This window comes from Homo sapiens, chromosome Y (assembly GCF_000001405.40).
Source record: "Homo sapiens chromosome Y, GRCh38.p14 Primary Assembly".
NCBI lineage: Eukaryota > Metazoa > Chordata > Mammalia > Primates > Hominidae > Homo > Homo sapiens.
Genome location: NC_000024.10, coordinates 13,770,459 through 13,795,718, shown reverse-complemented (window position 1 = coordinate 13,795,718; position 25,260 = coordinate 13,770,459). Strand labels below are relative to the sequence as shown.

Genomic DNA, 25,260 nt, shown 5'->3' with positions numbered 1-25,260 from the left:
GGCAATAAGGTACTCTTCCTCATTCTCTAGGGTTGAGTGGTGCAGGAGCTAAAGACCCTTGAGCTCACAGTGCTGATTCCATTATGTCAAGCCCAGCATACTCTTGAAGTCTGATGAAGCACAGATACAAATCTCTACAGTTAAAACATTTTATTTAGGAAGCAAGAATTTCCATTCGAGGCATACAGATAGACCAGGTATTCTTCAGTATGTCCAAAGAACAAAGAGGTTATACCAAAAGGAGAGATGTTATGTGTTGTTTTGAAAGAAAGTTCACCAGCAGGAATAAAATTTTAGGGAGCTGGTAAGTTCTGATTGATGAGTAACAACAGTAGGAAAAATTGGTCTTAAAGTTGCAACAGCTTGTTTCAGTAGCTATAGATAAAACCAGTTTCAGGTTATGGCAGGCAGCTTGAGTAGCCAGGCTTGCAGAGAATTATCTTCTTGAAATATTACATGCCCTGTGTTTTCTCCCCCTGGCCCCTTGACTTAGTTGAGTATGACAAAAATGACTCAATTTATATGATCAACTTTCACACAGGAAAAATAACAGCAAACTTTCCCTAAATAACATAGTAAGTCATGCACATTGAGAATGGATGACATGGTGCTTTTTTTCCTGAAGGTAATGCGGTAAAGACATTGGGTAGGATTATGCAATATAAGTGTTTGTTTCATTCACTCATTCATCAAAAATGTTTGCTGAGCAGCTACTATGTGCCAAATACCAGTTTATGCTTTGGGGACACCACATTGAACAATGAGGACAGCATGTATGTCCTCATGTCCCCATGAAGCTTTTTTCTGGTGAACGAGGAAGATTTTAAGCAGATAAAGCAGTAACTCCATAACATCACATATGGGCACAATATGGACAATAAAGCTTCTAAGTATGTTGGAGGGTGACCTGGGAAGTCATGGCTAAGAAATTGGCTTTTTTGCCAAGACCTGAATGAAGACAGTTCGTGAGGCAAGGGAAGGAACATTCTGAGTGGAGGGGAAAGCAGTCATGAAGTGGTAGAGTAGAAGGTGATTAAGTTGGGGACAGAGGCCAGGCATGGTGGCACACACTGTAACCCCAGCACTTTGGGAGGCTGAGGTGGGTAGATCATTTAAGGTCAGGAATTCAAAACCAGCGTGGCCAACACAGTGAAACCCCATTTCTACTAAAAAATACAAAAATTGGCTGGGCGTTACGGCAGGTGCCTTTAATCCCAGCTACTCAGGAGGCTGAGGTGTGAGAATCGCTTGAACTCAGGAGACAGAGATTGCAGTGAGGTGAGATCATGTCACTGCACTCCAGCCTGGGTAACAGAACACGACTCCATCTCAAAAAACAAACAAACAACAACAAAGTTGGGGGCAGAGCACAGGCACACAATAGAGAACCAGTGAGTATAAGCATAAAACTTTGGATTCATCTGAGTGAGAAGGAAATACATCATTAGGTTTAAGGTAGACAGCAGTGTGATGCCACTTATATACATACATACATATATACATATATATACACACATACATATATTTATTTATTTATTTATTTTATTTTATTTTTTGAGACAGAGTCTCGCTCTGTTGCCAGGCTGGAGTGCAGTGGCGCGATCTCGGCTCACTGCAAGCTCCGCCTCCCGGGTTCACGCCATTCTCCTGCCTCAGCCTCCGGAGTAGCTGGGACTACAGGCGCCCGCCACCACGCCCGGCTAATTTTATTTATTTTTTAGTAGAGACAGGGTTTCACCGTGGTCTCCATCTCCTGACCTCGTGATCCGCCCTCCTCGGCCTCCCAAAGTGCTGGGATTACAGGCGTGAGCCACCGCGCCTGGCCGATGCCACTTGTATTTTTAAGAGTCTTTCCAGCAGCCATGAGGAAATGTGATTTTTTGGGGTAAGAGTGGAGGCTGAGAGACCCAACAGGATGCTCTTGGATTCATCACAGCCGGAGAGAATGGCAGGCTGGAGACAGGAAGAGTGGTTAGATGAGATCTGTTCCACAGGGGGTCTGAAGGGGAAGCTGACAGGCTTTGCAGATGGTCACCAGAAGTGATTAAACAGTGTGTGGTTTCTAGAAAACATTATGCAAACCTAATCTTCCAAACAGATAATCAGAAAATTGTATCGTCAACACTGCTTCTGGGTTTTCTGACTTTTCTCTCCCTATATTCATAAAAACTAGTTTCTAGAATTGTTGGCCCGTATGTAACAGTGTAGACACAGGGATCTGTTATGCCTACACTGGCTTGCTGAGTGATTATAGAATCATCATCAAATATATGTGTGCCTGATTTTCCCTGTCTGTAAAACGGAGTGACTACAGATTACCAGTAACCTTGTTAACATAACGCATTAAGAGAAAAATCCCACCTAGTACTTCATGAATCCCAAAAGAAATGCAAACTAATTATCTGCACAGGTATCCAGTCATGATAACATCCAAAGGAGACAAACTTTGATTAATAAGCAAGATTCATTCCCAAAGATTCCCAGGGATCCCAAGTTAAAGACAAACCTTAAATTTCTGTGAGCTTTGTAATATATTCCAGAGTTTTCAGTTGGGATTAATTGTGACTTATTGATTGATTCTTCCTTTCTGACAAAAAGGATTGCTTTCTTTTCTTGTGGAATTCAGTCTCTCATGGCAGCCTTGATTAATCATTTGCAAACTATGGTTTAACCATCTATAGTCCCTAATGTACAAATTTCTTTCACTGCAATAATTTTAAAGTAGTTCAAATAAAACTGTTCAATTCAAATTCCTTCTAAGTTTGTAAAAGATAATTTCTTGATGGGATATGGAAAATATGAGTGCTTAAATAAGAAGTAATACCAACGTAACAAATTCTCTTTCCTATAATACACAATTTTTAAAAATTGGACAATAAGAATACTTATGAAATTTAATCAGCCTCATGACATTATGTGCTTTATCTGCAATGATGGCATAAAAAAAGTTATCCAAAGTTCCAGCTGACAACCACTTAATATAATTAATACCCAAAAATGTTTGTACAGAGCAAATGCTTAAGACATTACATAAACAGAATAAGTGGATTGTAACCAAGCATTTCATTTCTGCCCACGATCTAGACAGTCAGAAATAAGCAAAGCTTACCTTCACCAAATTATTTCACATTCCCATAAGAATTCTGCTCTATTTTAAAGTAAAATTCATGTGTATTAAATGACAAAATATGTGCATGATTATGGAAATGCATCATTAGAAACAAAGTTTTTAGTTTAGGAATATGATTCTATAATAATTTATGTATTTGAAAGACCTTTAACAAAACAATCCTTTTTATAAATATGCTATTTCAATATTATATATTCCTTAGATTAAATTTTGTTTATAAAATAAAGGTATATTTCTATTTTAGGACTAAAAGTAATACCCATGATATAATTTTTGTTTTTCTTGTGTGTGTGTGTGTGTTTTTTTTTTTTTTTTTTTTGAGATGGAGTCCTGCTCTGTCACCCAGACTGGAGTGCAGTGGCACCATCTCGGCTCACTGCAACCTCCTCCTCCCAGGTTCATGCCATTCTTCTGCCTCAGCCTCCCAAGTAGCTGAGACACAGGCACCTACCGCCACACCTAGCTAATTTTTTGTATTTTTATTAGAGGTAAATTTTCTCTGTGTTAGCCAGGATGTTCTCGATCTCCTAACCTTGTGATCCACCCACCTCAGCCTCCAAAAGTGCTGGGATTACAGGCATGAGCCACCATGCCCAGCCCCATGAAATAAATTTTATCAAACATTATTATGATCCCAAAGTTGCTGCAAAATTTTTAGCAAACTTTGTAAACTTTACTCATTAATACAATCTTATTATAAAATGTACTTCAGACTGGAGCTGGAGCATTATCATATAAATATTAAAAAAGGAAAAATTGTGGTGTATTGGGATTGAGGTAAGAAATGTATTATATCAAACATATAAATAAGTAAGATAAGAAAGTTTATCATGTTCTTTAGTGTGCAGAAAAGAATACTCAAAAATGGAAAAGAGTCTGTTTTATTAAAAAGCAAATTATTGGCCGGGCGGGGTGGCTCATGCCTATAATCTCAGCACTTTGGGAGGTCACAGTGGGCAGATCACAAGGTCAGGAGTTCGAGACCAGCCTGGCCAATTGGTGAAACCCCATCTCTGCTAAAAATACAAAAATTAGCCAGGTGTGGTGGTGAGAGCCTGTAGTCCCAGCTACTTGGGAGGCTGAGGCAGGAGAATCGTTTGAACCCTGGAGGTGGAGGTTTCAGTGAGCTGACATCACGCCACTGCACTCCAGCCTGGGTGACAGAGGGAGACTCCATCTCAAAAAACAAAAAACGCAGCAAATTAAACCAGCAATTCCTACAAAGAAATGAAAATGCATGCAAAATTACCTAAGTGTAAATGGAATACATGAAATCCTCTCTGGCCTAACCAGAAAACATTTTCTCCTTAATGCTTTTTAACAGGAAATTACAAACAAAACATAAAATAAGGTAGTATATAGAACCACTGACACCTGTAAATTGATGGCAGTGATAACTACCCAAATCAAATCTTACATGTGATAAAATGTCACAAAATTATATACATACATTGCATGCATGTCAATTTTGTGCTTTTGATATTGTTTACAACTACTTAAAGTGCAACCATTGGTGGAAACTGGATACACGTGATTTCTTTGTGCTTTGTGACTTCTGTGAAACTATAATTATTCCCAAATTAGAAGTTTTTGCACCATTCATACAGGTATAGGAAATCTACCTTAGAACATCACTTGTGATTCTGGCACCAAAGCAGGGAACCACTGTTCTGCAAAAAGAAAAAGAAAAAATGTTGACCCATTATACACTTTTCTAATACAAAGCTACACATACACAGATTTCTAATTTAAAATTATAATTTATGCATATAATTTTTGAATATTTGCATTTTAACAAACGCCCAATCTTGCAAAACCTGATGTGCCTCACTTTCAGTGATAGAAAATGTGTTTGTAATGTAAGTCTCATTTTGTCACTGATTTCATTCTGTAAACAAAGACACATAAAATAGTAAAGATTCCAAGCTGTCTGAAATGAAAAAGGGTCTGAGGCAACTTTGGTGTTTTGAGCAGTGAAGCAGGAAAATGAACACTAGACAGTCTGCCAACAATCAGCACTTTGGGAAATTTACAACTTATGCACTGTGGATGCTTTTGCTGTCAACCAATTTACAGAAATAAGAGTTTGGGATCGGGAGAAAAATCCTGTATTAGTCTGTTCTTACACTGCTATAAAGAACTACCTAAAACTGGGTATTTTATGAAGAAAAGAGATATCATTAACTCACAGTTCTGCATGCTTAACAGGAAGTGTGGCCAGAGAGACTCAGGAAATTTACAATCATGCAGAAAGCAGAGGAGATGCAAGCACATCTTACCATGGCAGAGTAAGAGAGAGAGAGTGGAAAGGGAAGTACTATGCACTTTTAAGCCATCAGATCTCATGAGAACTCACTCACTATCATGAGAACAGCAAGGAGGAAATCTGCCCCCATGATCCAATTACCTCCCATCCTTCCAATTTGACATGAGATTTGGGCAGGGACACAAATCCAAACCACATCAAATCTCATGTGGAAAGCCTTCTCTTACTCTTTCACCAAACATATGATCACAGACAACGGACTTCACATCCCCAAGCTTCAGTTTATTCACATATAAAGCAAGCATATCAGCAATATCTCATACATCAGGTCACTGGGATAACTAAATGAAACAATAGATACACTCAGTATGTAACAAATTTTTGGACTGTAATTCATTATCTTGAACATTAGGATTTCTGCATTCCACATAACTAAGATTTTGGTCATGTATTTTTCTCTGGTTGGGATCTCTTAAGTCAGGTTATGCTAGGCTGGAATACGTGGTAAAGCTAGCAGAAAACATCACCCAACAGCTAAGATGTCATGACCTCTAGTTCTCTGAAGTTCAAGGTGGAAATGAGATAAAATCACCCATTTCCTATGTTTGAACGTCTAAAATTTTAATATGAAGGATACCAGTATCGATACAGCAAGATGACATGTGTTTGCAGTTATGAGAAAAGAAAATTGAATCAAAAAAATCTTTTAGAAAATACTTTAATAACAAGTTTATTGAGATACAATTCACAAAATGCACTCATTTAAACTGTACAATTTGAGTATATTCAGAAAGCTATGCAACCATCACCACTATCTAATTGTAGAACATTTTCATCAGCCCAAAAAGAAACCTGGACCTATTTGTAGTCACTCCCATTCTGTCTTCCCACTATTTGCCTTACCCTGGCAAACACTAATCTACTTTCTGTCTTTATCTATTTGCCTCTTCTGGGCATTTTATATAAACGAAATTATACAATATGTGTTGCCTTCTTGATGCTAAATGCTACAGCAATCTTGCTTCATGTACATTGCAGTATATATTAGTACTTCATCTTTTTTGACCGTCAGATTCAGCTATATGAATATACCACATTGTGCCCATCCACTGCCAATAATATATCTGAATATGTCCCTTCCCAATAATGGTTTAATTATAGGATCCCCCAAACCACTAAATAAATCTCAACTCTATAGAATTGGCAATCTTCTTCTTCAATGTGAAGATTACTGGCTTAAAAGATCTCAGCCCCATATGAATGCTTTAAGTATGAAACCCCTCGACCATATAGCCCTACTTTTTACTCCTTCTCAGCCTTAACTCCCAATAATTCCTACACATTCTCAGGATTTTAGCCAGTCTCCTAAGAACCTACACACCACCTACTGAGTTGTGTACGTCCACACCTGGGCCCTCATCTTTTCCCCCACGTCCATGCCCCTCATCGAAACAAGCAAGGACTGAAGCTGGAGACGCATTACAAACAGCCTGGGGTGGATTTCACTACAATTTTTGGCAGGGATTACATGAGAGAAGTAATTCAATTGGGCAGAGGCTAGCGCTGGACAAATGGTAGGCACGTTTTAATCACTGGAAAATGAAGTGTTAAGAGAACATATTTAATAGGGCATAATATTCCCTTTTATAAAATTGAGGTTTTATAAAGGGAGCCATTGGCTTGGTAACAAGCTAAAAGTTCACAGAGGGGCATGGTCATAAACAGGGTGACAACTGCAAAAAGAAAGGGCTAGGCATTGAGCAGCACAGCATGTGGATGCTGGGGGCTGGGGCAGAGCAGCTCTGCAGAATTTCCTACATGATGGCCACTCTCAGCTTGCTGCCCAGTGTGTAGGTTCATATGATTGGCTAAAACCCTAGGTATGTGAAGGAATTATTGGGAGTTAAGGCTGAGAAGAAACAAATATTAGGGCTATATGCTAGAGGGGTTTCATAGTTAAAACTTCCCCTGCTTCCCCTGTGCAGTGTTAGCTCCTGCCGGGACTTCCAAGGACCACACCTGTCTGAGCACATCCTGGACTCAACTTGAGGGTTCCAAGCTCCTCTCCATCCAGTAATGGGAAGCAATGAGGCACATTCTAAAGAGACTCAGGGCTGAAGTGGACAGCCTCAGACCTTGGAACTAGGTCAAAGCCAGTTCCTGAAGGTCTTTTTCAGCACCATCTTGGTTTGAAGGCTTTGAGTCTTCTTGAGTCAGGTCAGCGGGGTCCTGCTCCTTGGTCTAGAATCCTTGACATGGGCACAAATGAGACCTCCTTCCCTTCCAGATGTTTCTCTTCCTAGGCAGAAGAGCAGGATCTTATCTCTGGATGAGATCAGGGGACCCTCAGCTATCTCTGCACTTACTGTCTTCCTCTTTGGGGTCTTATCACACCCTTTCCTGCTGAATGATATACTTTATTTTTGTCTGTGTCTTCATTGATCAACTAGGCTGTTTCCTGGGGACAAGACTCTATTTTTCCTCTTTACCTGTCTGTATCACATTAGCAAGGGAGTGCAGCATTTGGTCTTCATACAGAAGGCACATTTCTGAGGGCATGGAAGGGTGACTGAAGTTCCCAAAGTAGACATGGCAACTGTTGCCTGGGGTTCCAAAAGTAGGCATGGCAACCGTTGTCAATAGGTTGACAAAAATATCACTAATGCAGCAATATACCTTGACTATAATTATTATTATTATTATAGTGACCAAATCTATGTGGCAGATATGTGCCTTGATATTTTACATACTCACCCTATGTAATCATCCCACAAAATGACATAGGTTTCATTTATTCATTTTACAATTAAGAAACCTGTAGTTAGGGAAATCAAGTAAAATATGCAGAGTGACAAAGCCAGTGATTAACCTCAGTGGTAAATAACCCAACAGGTAAAGCCACAGGTGAAGAAAGGAGCAAGATGCACACTCAATTTTGAAGGAATTTCCAGATTTATAACCTTGAAAGGAGAGACGAAGATTGGTCCAACAGTCCTAAATAATGTATGTTGAGGAAGCAGCAGTTCAGATGGATGGGATGGAGTAATGAATAGGAGGGGAGATCAGGTAAAAGGACAGAAAGTAGATTGCAGGATTTTCATTACAGAAGATGTTATCTCTGGAAATATTTTTTTTTTTAATTTCGCAAATATTAAAGAGTTAATTAAAACAAAATTAGAGAATTAGAGTCCTGAGAAGCCCTGTGCAGGACACACCTTGTTATGGTTTGGCTGTGTCCCCACCCAAATCTCATCTTGAACTGTAGTTCCCACAATTGCCATGTGATGTGGGAAGGACCCTGTGGGAGATAACTGAATCCTGGGGGTGGGTTTTTCCCATGCTATTCTTGTGATACTGAATAAATCTCATGAGATCTGATAGTTTTATAAAGGGCAGTTTCCCCCCCACACACACTCTCTTGCCTGCCACCATGTAAGACATGCCTTTGCTCCTCTTTCACCTTCCACCATGATTGTGAGGCCTCCTTAGCCATGCGGAACTGTGAGTCCATGAAACCTCTTTTTCTTTATAAATTACCCAGTTTCAGGTATGTCTTTATCAGTAGTGTGAGAACAGACTAATAAACACCTTGATTAGCTTTCTTTCGTTCCCTTCTACTGTGTAGGTTGAATGGCCAAATTTCAACAACAAAAGCACAAAGGATGCAGCAGAGATTGTCTTCAGCTGCCCAACCTCCCCTTCAAAATGTAAACCCCCCTGCCCTGCCCCACACGGATTTTTCTTCTTTCCTGGAATTCAGTGCTCCACATACTATTGACCTATACACACCCATCAAAATCAGAAGGAAACCAATATTTTAAATTGGGAATTAATATCAGTGCATTGCCTTGACCAAGATATTTTCATTCAAGTAAAATATTCTACTAATCAAAAAAATGAAAAACTCCGTCATTACAAAGAAATATTTGGGGCAATGGCAAGCAAGCATAAATGATTATTATGATTAGAATGATTTTTTAAAATTAGTGAAGACAGCATGTCATAGGCTGCTTGGAATGATTAAAAAGATAATCCATGTAAAGTACTTATCAAAATGTTTAGCACACGATTTTTTAAATCCTTAGTTATTACTGAAGTGACGTAACAAATTTTTGGACTATGATTCTTTATCTTGAACATTAGAATTTCTGCATTCCACATAACTAAGATTTTGTTCATGTTTTTTCTCTGGCTGAGATCTTTTAATTCAGGTTATGCTAGGCTGGAATAGTGGGCAAAGCTAGCAGAAACCATCTGATTATGTTATCATTTGCCATTAGCATTGTCTTTAGCCATTGTGGAGTAATCCTTGACTTAATGTCTCCCAACTCACAATGGATAATACCCTAGAGTAACTGATTCAGTCTTATTAGTGAGACTAATACTAAAATAAATAAAATACTGAAAGTATTTAGTATTGAAAATACTGGCCGGGTGTGGTGGCTCATGCCTGTAATCGCAGCACTTTCGGAGGCCAAGGTGGGCGGACCACCTGAGGTTGGGAGTTTAAGACCAGCCTGACCAACATGGAGAAACACCATCTCTACTAAAAATACAAAATTAGCCAGGCATGGTAGTACATTACTGTATTCCCAGCTACTAGGGAGGCTGAGGCAGCAGAATTGCTTGAACCCAGGAGGCGCAGGTTGCAGTGAGCTGAGATCAGGCCATTGTACTCCAGCCTGGGCAACAAAAGCAAAACTCTGTCTCAAAAGAAAAGAAAAGAAAATACTAACATACAGTATTTAAGCAAATACTAAAATACAATTAAAATTTGCAATAAAAAAGGGAAGGCCTTTCCATCCTGTTTTTTCCTTGGGTGATAGCAATGTTTCAACATTTGCCAACATGATGAGTGGGCAATCATATTAGCATTTTGCTTTAATTTTATCTGACTGGGCATTTGTTTTCCTTTACCATCTATAGTCTGTCTCTTTTACCATATCTATTGTGGATTGTTCAATATGTTAAAATCAACTTTAGCAAGTATTAGTACCACTTAAGTTAAATGATCATTTGTCTATTGCAAAAATTCTCCAGCACTTCATTCATCTTTTGCATTTATTCATGATGTTTTTCCACAAGGAGATTTTATATGCACACACACACAGACGCACATAGCTATGCATGCACTTATATATTTTCCCTCAAAATGCATCCCTAGTTCCTTTTTGGATTTTGAGTTTCCTGTTTTTCTTAAAATAATTGCCTCCATGCCAAGGTTTTGAAGCCATTCTGTGCTTTTACCTGTATCAATCATCAGGTGTTATACTATTTATCTCCACTAAGAACTTCTAAGAACCCTGCTCACTAGCATCAGGGATGCCAGTAAGCCCCCAATAAATGCTGGCCACTTTGTTTAGTCCAGGTGTGCATGACATTATTCCACCACAATACACCTACATTACTTACATGTGGTGCTCTTTGAGCAGAAAAGCAATCAAAAAATGTAAGAATCCAATACATTTCAACACTCTGCCCCAGGGGAAGTCCTTCTTCAGATACCAATCAATGCTTTGACACTACAAGTAATTGCCTGTGACCCTGAATGGACAATTTTGTGTCCACGCTTGGTTTAAGTTATTTTAAAGCAATACATGGAACTAGGGATATATGGAACTATGGATACAAGTCATTATATATTTGTCCAAACCCATAGACCATACAACACCAAGAGTGAAGTGTATGTAAACTACAGACCCTGATGATGATGATGTGTCAATGTAGGTTCATCCATTGTCACAAATATCCCACTCTGGTGGGGGATGTTGGTAATGGGAGAAGCTGTGCATGGTGGGTGCAGAGTATGTGGATATTCTCTGTACTTTCTGCTCAATTGCTGTGAACCTAAAATTGCTCTAAAAAATAAAAAGTCTATTTAAAAGGTTCACGGGGAAGTCTTTCTTCATATATCTGTTGTACATAAGATTTCTTTCAAATGTTACGGAATATCCTCAGTAAAAAGTCTTTTCATTAACCGAGGAAAAATGTCTTGGCTGGGCATGGTGACTCATGCTGTCATCCCAGTACTTTGGAAGGGTGAGGCAGGAGAATCGCTTGAACCTGGGAAGTGGAGGTTTCAGTGAGCCAACATCACACTACTGCACTCCGGCTGGGGCGACAACAGCGAAATTTTGTCTCAGAAAAGAAAAGAAAAAAATGTCTCTCTGTGTTGTATAAATATTTCTCATTTAATGGAATTCTATAGGAAAAAAAATTTTGACCATATAGAAATACACTTGTCTCTAGACAACCAGCCTTCCTGTAGAGTCCTTTCTTCAAAGAAAATGCCACTTTGTCCAAGAAGCCTTCCCAGATCCCATCACCCTGACTACCACAGATACCTCTGTTGCTTGCTCTTATAGCATCTTGCACATCTCCCAGGCACTCTGTCACACAGTGGACAAGTGCAAATTGTGTGTGTTGTTTTAATAGTAATGATCAACTGTCGCCCAGCCTGCAAAAGCTTTGGAAGCAGTGCCTACCCTAACATGTGCTTGCCATTGGTTCTCTGGCAAGTGGCAGTGTGCCTGTCACAGAGCAAATTGTTTTCACAAATGGCACTGATCAAAGACATAAGTGAAAGCAATAGAGAGACATAAAAGGAATTTACACGTTAGTGTTTAGGTCCTGAAGAGCTGGAAAGAATGACATAAATAGATTGAGCTGGTGAAATGTTTCAGGTTCTCTGGGTGGACATTTTAGGAAGCTTATTTTGTTTCCCATGAAGTAAATATCCAGAAGATTGGCATGATAACATCAAAAACTGAAAAAAGCTTGTATTTTGGATCAAATACACATTATTTAAGAAATAATAATACTAATTATATTTTTATACAGTGCATAAAGCCACCAAAAGAAAATTCATAGAACAGCAAATGCCAGACTTTTCTTATCATCATTCCCTAAATAATAGTGTAATAGCTGTTTACATAGCATTTGCATTGTATTAGATGTAAGTAATGTATAAATAATTTAAAATATATAAGAGGGTATTTGCAGGTTATGTGAAAATGCCACACCATTTTATATCAACAACTTGAGAATCTTCAGATTTTGGTATCTGCGGGGTGGGAAGGGCAGGTCCTAGAACCCTTAAGGTGCATTATAACTTCAGTCCAGATTGATGTACTTTTCCTGAAAATAAAATAATTGTATTTTTCAAAGATATTCATCCAAGAAGAATATATTGTTTCAATGTAACCAGCAGTTATTTTTCACCTGTAGTTTTAAAAAGAACTTTAGTGCTAAGCTGACTGCCAGAGAGTTGAAAGATACAACAGAAATGTCTTTAAAAAAAATGTCAACTCCGTTTCAAAGTTCTTGTGAAGAATGAAAATCATCATCAAAGGTGGTGGAGCCAAGATGGCTGAATAGGCACAACTCCAGTCTACAGCTCCCAGCATGAGCAATGCAGAAGACGGGTGATTTCTGCATTTCCATCTGAGGTACCGGGTTCATCTCACTGGGGAGTGTCAGAAACTGCATGCAGGACAGTGGGTGCAGCGCACTGAGTGCGAGGCAAAGCAGGGTGAGGCATTGCCTCACCCAGGAAGTGCAAGGGGTCAAGGAATTCCCTTTCCTAGTCAAAGAAAGGTGTGACAGATGGCACCTGGAAAATCGGGTCACTCCCACCCTAATACTGCACGTTTCCAGTAGTCTTTGCAAACAGCACACCAGGAGATTATATCCCACGCCTGGCTCAGAGGGTCCTATGCCCATGAAGCCTCACTCATTGCTAGCACAGCAGTCTGAGATCAAACTGCAAGGTGGCAGCGAGGCTGGGGGAGGGGCGCCCGCCATTGCCCAGGCTTGAGTAGGTAAACAAAGCAGCAAGGAAGTTCAAACTGGGTGGAGCCCACTGCAGCTCAAGGAGGCCTGCCTGTCTCTGTAGACTGCACCTCTGGAGGCAGGGCATTGCCACACAAAAGGCAGCAGAATACTCTGCAGACTTAAATGTCCCTGTATGACAGCTTTGAAGAGAGTAGTGGTTCTCCCAGCATGCAGCTGGAGATCTGAGAACAGACAGACTGCCTCCTCAAGTGAGTCCCTGACCCCCGAGTAATGTAACGGGAAGACACGCCCAAGTAGAGGCAAACTGACACCTCATACAGCCGGGTACTCCTCTGAAACAAAACTTCCAGAGGAATGATCAGGAAGCAACATTTGCCATGCATCAATATCTGCTCTTCTGCAGCCTCCACTGCTGATACGCAGGCAAACAGGGTCTGGAGTGGACCTCCGGCAAACTACAACAGACCTGCAGCTGCGGGTCCTGACTGTTAGAAGGAAAACTATCAAACAGAAAGGACATCCAAACTAAAACCCCATCTGTACATCACAATCATCAAAGACCAAAGGTAGATAAAACCACAAAGATGGGGAAAAAACACAGCAGAAAAACTGGAAACTCTAAAAATCAGAGCACCTCTCCTCCAAAGAAACGCAGCTCCTCACCAGCAACAGAACAAAGCTGGACAGAGAATGACTTTGACGAGTTAAGAGAAGAAGGCTTCAGATGATCAAACTACTCTGAGCTAAAGGAGGAAGTTCAAACCCGTGGCAAATAAGTTAAAAACCTTGAAAAAAAATTAGATGAATGGCTAACTAGAATAACCAATGCAGAGAAGTCCTTAAAGGACATGATGGAGCTGAAAACCAAGTAACGAGAACTACATGATGAAAGCACAAGCCTCAGTAGCCGATTTGATCAACTGGAAGAAAGGGTATCAGTGATGGAAGATCAAATGAATGAAATGAAGGGAGAAGAGAATTTTAGAGAAAAAAGAATAAAAAGAAACAAAGCCTCCAAGAAATATCGGACTATGTGAAAAGACCAAATCTACGTCTGATTGGTGTACCTGAAAGTGATGGGGAGAATGGAACCAAGTTGGAAAACACTATGCAGGATATTATCCAGGAGAACTTCCCCAATCTAGCAAGATGGGCCAATATTCATATTCAGGAAATACAGGGAACACCACAAAGATACTCCTCAAGAAAAGCACCTCCAAGACACATAATTGTCAGATTCACCAAAGTTGAAATGAAGGAAAAAATGTTAAGGGCAGCCAGAGAGAAAGGTCGGGTTACCCTCAAAGGGAAGCCCATCAGACTAACAGCAGATCTCTTGGCAGAAACTCTACAAGCCAGAAGAGAGTGGGGGCCAATATTCAACATTCTTAAAGAAAAGAATTATCAACCCAGAATTTCATATCCAGTCAAACTAAGCTTCATAAGTGAAAGAGAAATAAAATACTTTACAGACAAGCAAATGTAAGAGATTTTGTCACCACCAGGCCTGCCCAAAAAGAGCTCCTGAAGGAAGCACTAAACACAGAACGGAAAAACTGGAACCAGTCACTGCAAAAACATGCCAAATTGTAAAGACCATCGAGGCTAGGAAGAAACTGCATCAACTAACGAGCAAAATAACCAGCTAACATCATAATGACAGGATCAAATTCACACATAACAATATTAACTTTAAATGGAAATGGGCCAAATGCTCCAATTAAAAGACACAGACTACCAAATTGGATAAAGAGTCAACACCCATCAGTGTGCTGTATTCAGGAAACCCATCTCACACACAGAGACACACATAGGCTCAAAATAAAGGGATGGAGGAAGATCTACCAAGCAAATGCAAAACAAAAAAAGGTGGGAGTTGCAATCCTGGTCTCTGACAAAACAGACTTTAAACCAACAAAGATCAAAAGAGACAAACAAGGCCATTACATAATGGTAAAGGGATCAATTAAACAAGAAGAGCTAACTATCCTAAATATATATGAACCCAATACAGGACCACCCAGATGCATAAAGCAAGTCCTTAGAGATCTACAAAGAGACTTAGACTCCCACACAATAATAATGGGAGACTAATACCTCACTCTCAACATTAGACAGATCAACGAGACAGAAAGTTAACAAGGATATCCAGGAATTGAACTCAGCTCTGCACCAAGCAGATGTAATAGACACCCCAAATCAACAGAATATATATTCTTCTCAGCAACACACCACACTGGTTCCAAAATTGACCACATAGTTGGAAGTAAAGCACTCCTCTGCAAATGTAAAAGAGCAGAAATTATAACAAACTGTCTCTCAGACCACAGTGAAATCAAACTAGAACTCAGGATCCAGAAACTCACTCAAAACCGCTCAATTACATGGAAACTGAACAACCTGCTCCTGAGTAACTACTGGGTACATAACGAAATGAAGGCAGAAACAAAGATGTTCTTTGAAACCAATGAGAACAAAGATACAACATACCAGAATCTCTGGGACACATTCAAAGCAGTGTGTAGAGGGAAATTTACAGCACTAAATGTCCACAAGAGAAAGCAGGAAAGATCTAAAATTGACACGCTAACAATTCAAATAACTAGAGATGCAACAGCAAACAGATTCAAAAACTAGCAGAAGGCAAGTAATAACTAAGATCACAGCAGAACTGAAAGAAATAGAAACACAAAAAACCCTTCAAAAAATCTATGAATCCAGGAGCTGGTTTTGTGAAAAGATCAACAAAATTGATAGACCGCTAGCAAGACTAATGAAGAAGAAAAGGGAGAAGAATCAAATAGACACAATAAAAAAATGATAAAGGGGATATCACCACCGATCCCACAGAAAAACAAACTACCATCAGAGAATACTATAAACACCTCTATGCAAATAAACTAGAAAATCTAGAAGAAATGGATAAATTCCTCGACACATACACTCTCCCAAGTCTAAACCAGGAAGAAGTTGAATCTCTGAATAGACCAATAACAGGCTCTGAAATTGAGGCAATTATTAAAAGCTTACCAACTAAAACAAGTACAGGACCAGACACATTCACAGCTCAATTCTACCAGAGGTAGAAAGAGGAGCTGGTACCATTCCTTCTGAAACTATTCCAATCAACAGAAAAAGAGGGAAGACTCCCTAACTCATTTTATTAGGCCAGCATCATCCTGATACCAAAGCCTGGCAGAGACACAACAAAAAAAGAGAATTTTACACCAATATCCCTGATGAACATCAGTGAAAAATCCTCAATAAAATACTGGCAAGCCGAATCCAGCAGCACATCAAAAAGATTATCCACCATGACCGAATGTGCTTCATCCCTGGGATGCAAGGCTGGTTCAACATACACAAATCAATAAATATAATCCAGCATATAAACAGAACCAACAACAAAACCCACATGATTATTTCAATAGATGCAGAAAAGGCCTTTGACAAAATTCAACAACCTTCATGCTAAAAACTCTCAATAAATTAGGTATCGATGGAACGTATCTCAAAATAATAAGAACTATCTATGACAAACCCACAGCCAATATTATACTGAATGCGCAAAAACTAGAAGCATTGCCTTTGAAAACTGGCACAAGACAGGGATGCCCTCTCTCACCACTCCTATTCAACATAGTGTTGGAAGTTCTCGCCAGGGCAATCAGGCAGGAGAAGGAAATAAAGATGATTCAGTTAGGAAAAGAGGAAGTCAAATTGTCCCTGTTTGCAGACAACATGATTGTATATCTAGAAAACCCCATTGTCTCAGCCCAAAATCTCCTTAAGCTGATAGGTAACTTCAGCAAAGTCTCAGTATACAAAATCAGTGTTCAAAAATCACAAGGATTCTTATACAGCAATAACAGACAAACAGAGAGCCAAATCATGCATGAACTCCCATTCACAATTGCTTCAAAGAGAATAAAATACCTAGGAATCCAACTTACAAGGGACATGAAGGACCTCTTCAAGGAGGACTACAAACCACTGCTCAAGGAAATAAAAGAGGATACAAACAAATGGAAGAACATTCCATGCCCATGGGTAGGAAGAATCAAAATTGTGAAAATGGCCATACTGCCCAAGGTAATTTATAGATTCAATGCCATCCCCATCAAGCTACCAACGACTTTCTTCACAGAACTGATAAAACTACTTTAAAGTTCATATGCAATCAAAAAAAAGCCCACATTGCCAAGTTATCCTAAGCCAAAAGAACAAAGCTGGAGGCAGCATACTACCTGACTTCAAACTATACTATAAGGCTACAGTGACCAAAACAGCATGGTACTGGTATCAAAACAGAGATACAGACCAATGGAACAGAACAGAGCCCTCAGAAATAATGCCACATATCTACAACCATCTGTTCTTTCACAAACCTGACAAAAACAAGAAATGGGGAAAGGATTTCCTATTTAATAAATGGTGCTGGGAAAACTAGCTAGCCATATGTAGAAAGCTGAAACTGGATCCCTTCCTTACATTTTATACAAAAATTAATTCACGATGGATTAAAGACTTAAATGTTAGACCTAAAAACATAAAAACCATAGAAGAAAACCTAGGCAATACCATTCAGGACACACGCACGGGCAAGGACTTCATGTCTAAAACACCAAAAGCAATGGCAACAAAAGCCAAAACTGACAAATGGGATCTAATTAAACTAAAGAGCTTCTGCACAGCAAAGAAACTACCATCAGAGTGAACAGGCAACCTATAGAATGAGAGAAAATTTCTCCAATCTACTCATCTGACAAAGGGCTAATATCCAGAATCTACAATGAACTCAAACAAATTTGCAAGAAAAAAACAAACAACCCCATCAAAAAGTGGGCAAAGGATATGAACAGACACTTCTCAAAAGAAGACATTTATGCAGCCAAAAGACACATGAAAAAATGCTCACCATCACTGGCCATCAGAGAAATGCAAATCAAAACCACAATGACATACCATCTCACACCAGTTAGAATGGTGATCATTAAAATGTCAAGCAACAACAGGTGCTGGAGAGGATGTGGATAAATAGGAACACTTTTACACTGTTGGTGGGACTGTAAACTAGTTCAACCATTGTGGAAGTCGGTGTGGCGATTCCTCAGGGATCCAGAGCCAGAAATATGGATCTAGAGCCAGAAATACCATTTGACCCAGCAATCCCATTACTGGGTATATATCCAAAGGATTATAAATCATGCTGCTATAAAGACACATGCACACGTATGTTTATTGCGGCACTATTCACAATAGCAAAGACTTGAAACCAAGCCAAATGTCCAACAATGATAGACTGGATTAAGAAAATGTGGCACATATATACAGTGGAATACTATGCAGCCATAAAAAATGATGAGTTCATGTCCTTTACAGGGACATGGATGAAGCTGGAAACCATCATTCTCAGCAAACTATCACAAGGACAAAAAACCAAACACCCAGTGTTCTCACTCATAGGTGGGAATTGAACAATGAGAACACATGGACACAGGAAGGGGCACATCACACACCGGGGCCTGTTGTGAGGTGGGGGGAGGGGGGAGGGGAGAGGAATAGCATTTGGAGATATACCTAATTTTAAATGATGAGTTACTGGGTGCAGCACACCAACATGGCATATGTATACATATATAACTAACCTGCACATTGTGCACAGGTACCCTAAAACTTAAAGTATAATAAAAAAAATTGAGATATAATTCACATACCATAAAATATGCTCTTTTAAGATATGTACATCAGCGGTTTATAATATATTCACAAGGTGTGCAATAATCACCACTATGGGAGGAGGAGCCAAGATGGATGAATAGGAACAGCTCCGGTCTACAGCTCTCAGCGTGAGCGACGCAGAAGACTGGCGATTTCTGCATTTCCATCTGAGGTACCGGGTTCATCTCACTAGGGAGTGCCAGACAGTGGGAGCAGGCCAGTGGGTGCGTGCACCGTACACGAGCCGAAGCAGGGTGAGGCATTGCCTCACTTGGGAAGCACAAGGGGTCAGGGAGTTCCCTTTCCGAGTCAAAGAAAGGGGTGACGGACACACCTGGAAAATCGGGCCACTCCCACCTGAATATTGCGCTTTTCTGACTGGCTTAAAAAACGGCGCGCCACGAGATTATATCCCACACCTGGCTCGGAGGGTCCTACGCCCACGGAGTCTGGCTGATTGCTAGCACAGCAGTCTGAGATCAAACTGCAAGGTGGCAGCGAGGCTGGGGGAGGGTTACCCGCCATTCCCCAGGCTTGCTTAGGTAAACAAAGCAGCCCCGCAGCTCGAACTGGGCGGAGCCCACCACAGCTCAAGGAGGCCTGCCTGCCTCTGTAGGCTCCACCTCTGGGGGCAGGGCACAGACAAACAAAAAGACAGCAGTAACCTCTGCAGACTTAAATGTCCCCGTCTGACAGCTGTGAAGAGAGCAGTGGTTCTCCAAGCACGCAGCTGGAGATCTGAAAACAGGCAGACTGCCTCCTCAAGTGGGTCCCTGACCCCTGACCCATGAGCAGCCTAACTGAGAGGCACCTCCCAGCAGGGGCACACTGACACCTCACAAGGCAGCCTATTCCAACAGACCTGCAGCTGAAGGTCCTCTCTAGTAGAAGGAAAACTAACAAACAGAAAGGACATCCACACCAAAAACCCATCTGTAAATCACCATCATCAAAGACCAAAAGTAGATAAAACCACAAAGATGGGGAAAAAACAGAACAGAAACACTGGAAACTCTAAAACGCAGAGCACCGCTCTGCCTCCAAAGGAACGCAGTTCCTCACCAGCAACGGAACAAAGCTAGATGGAGAATGACTTTGATGAGCTGAGAGAAGAAGGCTTCAGACAATCAAATTACTCTGAGCTATGGGAGGACATTCAAACCAAAGGCAAAGAAGTTGAAAACTTTGAAAAAAATTTAGAATGTATAACTAGAATAACCAATATAGAGAAGTGCTTAAAGGAGCTGATGGAGCTGAAAACCAAGGCTCGAGAACTACATGAAGAATGCAGAAGCCTCAGGAGCCGATGAGATCAACTGGAAGAAAGGGTATCAGCGATGGAAGATGAAATGAATGAAATGAAGTGAGAAGGGAAGTTTAGAGAAAAAAGAATAAAAAGAAATGAGCAAAGCCTCCAAGAAATATGGGACTATGTGGAAAGACCAAATCTACATCTGATTGGTGTACCTGAAAGTGATGGGGAGAATAGAACCAAGTTGGAAAACACTCTGCAGGATATTATCCTGGAGAATTTCCCCAATCTAGCAAGGAAGGCCAACATTCAGATTCAGGAAATATAGAGAACACCACAAAGATACTCCTCGAGAACAGCAACTCCAAGACACATAATTGTCAGATTCACCAAAGTTGAAATGAAGGAAAAAATGTTAAGTGCAGCCAGAGAGAAAGGTCGGGTTACCCTCAAAGGGAAGCCCATCAGACTAACAGCAGATCTCTCAGCAGAAACCCTGCAAGCCAGAAGAGAGTGGGGGCCAATATTCAACATTCTTAAAGAAAAGAATTTTCACCCAGAATTTCCTATCCAGCCAAACTAAGCTTCATAAGTGAAGGAGAAATAAAATACTTTACAGACAAGCAAATGATGAGAGATTTTGTCACCACCAGGCCTGCCCTAAAAGAGTTCCTGAAGGAAGCGCTAAACATGGAAAGGAACAACCAGTACCAGCCGCAGCAAAATCATGCCAAAATGTAAAGACCATCGAGACTAGGAGGAAACTGCATCAACTAACGAGCAAAAGAACCAGCTAACATCATAATGACAGGATCAAATTCACACATAACAATATTAACTTTAAATGTAAATGGACTAAATGCTCCAATTAAAAGACACAGACTGGCAAATTGGATAAAGAGTCAAGACCCATCAGTGTGCTGTATTCAGGAAACCCATCTGACGTGCAGAGACACATATAGGCTCAAAATGAAAGGATGGAGGAAGATCTACCAAGCAAATGGAAAACAAAAAAAAGGCAGGGGTTGCAATCCTAGTCTCTGATAAAACAGACTTTAAACCAACAAAGATCAAAAGAGACAAAGAAGGCCATTACATAATGGTAAAGGGATCAATTCAACAAGAAGAGCTAACTATGCTAAATGTATATGCACCCAATACAGGAGCACCCAGGTTCATAAAGCAAGTCCTGAGTGACCTACAAAGAGACTTAGACTCCCACACATTAATAACGGGAGACTTTAACACCCCACTGTCAACATTAGACAGATCAATGAGACAGAAAGTCAACAAGGATACCCAGGAATTGAACTCAGCTCTGCACCAAGCGGACCTAATAGACATCTACAGAATTCTCCATCCCAAATCAAGAGATTATACATTTTTTTCAGCACCACTCCACACCTATTCCAAAATTGACCACATACTTGGAAGTAAAGCTCTCCTCAGCAAATGTAAAAGAACAGAAATTATAACAAACTATCTCTCAGACCACAGTGCAATCAAACTAGAACTCAGGTTTAAGAATCTCACTCAAAACGGCTCAACTACATGGAAACTGAACAACTTGCTCCTGAATGACTACTGGATACATATCGAAATGAAGGCAGAAATAAAGATGTTCTTTGAAACCAACGAGAACAAAGACACAACATACCAGGATCTCTGGGACATATTCAAAGCAGTGTGTAGAGGGAAATTTATAACACTAAATGCCCACAAGAGAAAGTAGGAAACATCCAAAATTGACACCCTCACATCACAATAAAAAGAACTAGAAAAGCAACAGCAAACACATTCAAAAGCTAGCAGAAGGCAAGAAATAACTAAAATCAGAGCAGAACTGAAGGAAATAAAAACACAAAAACCCTTCAAAAAATTAATGAATCCAGGAGCTGGTTTTTTGAAAGGATCAACAAAATAGATAGACCACTAGCAAGACTAATAAAGAAAAAAAGAGAGAAGAATCAAATAGACACAATAAAAAATGATAAAGGGGATATCACCCCCGATCCCACAGAAATACAAACTACCATCAGAGAATACTACAAACACCTCTACACAAATAAACTAGAAAATCTAGAAGAAATGGATAAATTCCTCGACACATACACTCTCCCAAGACTAAACCAGGAAGAAGTTGAATCTCTGAATAGACCAATAACAAGAGGTGAAATTGTGGAAATAATCAATAGTTTACCAACCAAAAAGAGTCCAGGACCAGATGGATTCACAGCCGAATTCTATCAGAGGTACAAGGAGGAACTGGTACCATTCCTTCTGAAAGTATTCCAATCAACAGAAAAAGAGGGAATACACCCTAACTCATTTTATGAGGCCAGCATCATTCTGATACCAAAGCCGGGCAGAGACACAACAAAAAAAGAGAATTTTAGACCAATATCCTTGATGAACATTGTTGCAAAAATCCTCAATAAAATACTGGCAAACCGAATCCAGCAGCACATCAAAAAGCTTATCCACCATGATCAAGTGGGCTTCATCCCTGGGATGCAAGGCTGGTTCAATATAAGCAAATCAATAAATGTAATCCAGCATATAAACAGAGCCAAAGACAAAAACCACATGATTATCTCAATAGATGCAGAAAAAGCCTTTGACAAAATTCAACAACGCTTCATGCTAAAAACTCTCAATAAATTAGGTATTGATGGGATGTATCTCAAAATAATAAGAGCTATCTATGACAAACCCACAGCCAATATCATACTGAATGGGCAAAAACTGGAAACATTCCCTTTGAAAACTGGCACAAGACAGGGATGCCCTCTCTCACCACTCCTATTCAACATAGTGTTGGAAATTCTCGCCAGGGAAATTAGGCAGGAGAAGGAAATAAAGTGTATTCAATTAGGAAAAGAGGAAGTCAAATTGTCCCTCTTTGCAGACAACATGATTGTATATCTAGAAAACCCCATTGTCTCAGCCCAAAATCTCCTTAAGCTGATAAGCAACTTCAGCAAAGTCTCAGGATAAAAAATCAATGTACAAAAATCACAAGCATTCTTATACAGCAATAACAGACAAACAGAGAGCCAAATCATGAGTGAACTCCCATTCACAATTGCTTCAAAGAGAATAAAATACCTAGGAATCCAACTTACAAGGGATGTGAAGGACCTCTTCAAGGAGAACTACAAACCACTGCTCAAGGAAATAAAAGAGGATACAAACAAATGGAAGAACATTCCATGCTCATGGGTAGGAAGAATCAATATCGTGAAAATGGCCATACTGCCCAAGGTAATTTACAGATTCAATGCCATCCCCATCAAGCTACCAATGACTTTCTTCACAGAATTGGAAAAAACTACTTTAAAGGTCATATGGAACCAAAAAAGAGCCCGCATCGCCAAGGCAATCCTAAGCCAAAAGAACAAAGCTGGAGGCATCACACTACCTGACTTCAAACTATACTACAAGGCTACAGTAAAAAAAAAACAGCATGGTACTGGTACCAAAAAAGAGATATAGATCAATGAAACAGAACAAAGCCCTCAGAAATAATGCCGCATATCTACAACTATCTGATCTTTGACAAACCTGAGAAAAACAAGCAATGGGGAAAGGATTCCCTATTTAATACATGGTGCTAGGAAAACTGCCTAGCCGTATGTAGAAAGCTGAAACTGGATCCCTTCCTTACACCTTATACAAAAATCAATTCAAGATGGATTAAAGACTTAAACGTTAGACCTAAAACCATAAAAACCATAGAAGAAAACCTAGGCATCACCATTCAGGACATAGGCACGGGCAAGGACTTCATGTCCAAAACACCAAAAGCAATGGCAACAAAAGACAAAATTGACAAATGGGATCTAATTAAAATAAAGAGCTTCTGCACAGCAAAAGAAACCACCATCAGAGTGAACAGGTAACCTACAAAATGGGAGAAAATTTTCGCAACCTACTCATCTGACAAAGGGCTAATATCCAGAATCTATAATGAACTCAAACAAATTTACAAGAAAAAAAACAAACAACCCCATGAAAAAGTGGGCAAAGGACATGAACAGACACTTCTCAAAAGAAGACATTTATGCAGCCAAAAAACACATGAAAAAATGTTCATCATCACTGGCCATCAGAGAAATGCAAATCAAAACCAAATGAGATACCATCTCACACCAGTTAGAATGGCAATCATTAAAAAGTCAGGAAACAACAGGTGCTGGAGAGGATGTGGAGAAATAGGAACATTTTTACACTGTTGGTGGGACTGTAAACTAGTTCAAACATTGTGGAAGTCAGTGTGGCGATTCCTCAGGGATCTAGAACTAGAAATACCATTTGACCCAGCCATCCCATTACTGTGTATATACCCAAAGGACTATAAATCATGCTGCTATAAAGACACATGCACACGTATGTTTATTGCAGCATTATTCACAATAGCAAAGACTTGGAACCAACCCAAATGTCCAACAATGATAGGCTGGATTAAGAAAATGTGGCACATATACACCATGGAATACTATGCAGCCATAAAAAATGATGAGTTCATGTCCTTTGCAGGGACATGGATGAAATTGGAAATCATCATTCTCAGTAAACTATCGCAAGAACAAAAAACCAAACGCCACATATTCTCACTCATAGGTGGGAATTGAACAATGAGATCACATGGACACAGGAAGGGGAATATCACACTCTGGGGACTGTGGTGGGGTGGGGGGAGGGGGGAGGGATAGCATTGGGAGATATACCTAATGCTAGATTATGAGTTAGTGGGTGCTGCGCACCAGCATGGCAAATGTATACATATGTAACTAACCTGCACAATGTGCACATGTACCCTAAAACTTGAAGTATAATAAAAAAAAAGGAAAAAAGAAAAAAAATAATAATCACCACTATCTAACTTTATAACATTTTGTCACCCCTAAAAGAAACCCTATATCTATTAGCAATCATTTTTCATTCCTCCCTCCCCAGCCCCTGTCAACCACTAATAAAGACAAAAAGTCTGAAAAAAAAAAAAACAAAGAAAATCATCTTCAAAGAAGAAAAAAATGCAAGACCAACACAGAAAGAAAACAATTTTACATGACTCTGAATGACATTACTATTATT

General features: G+C 39.8%; 1 pseudogene; it reads right to left on the bottom strand.

Annotated features, from left to right (window-relative positions):
* ANOS2P (anosmin 2, pseudogene) overlaps positions 1 to 25,260 on the bottom strand; it is a 168,317-nt pseudogene that overhangs the window by 124,304 nt on the left and 18,753 nt on the right.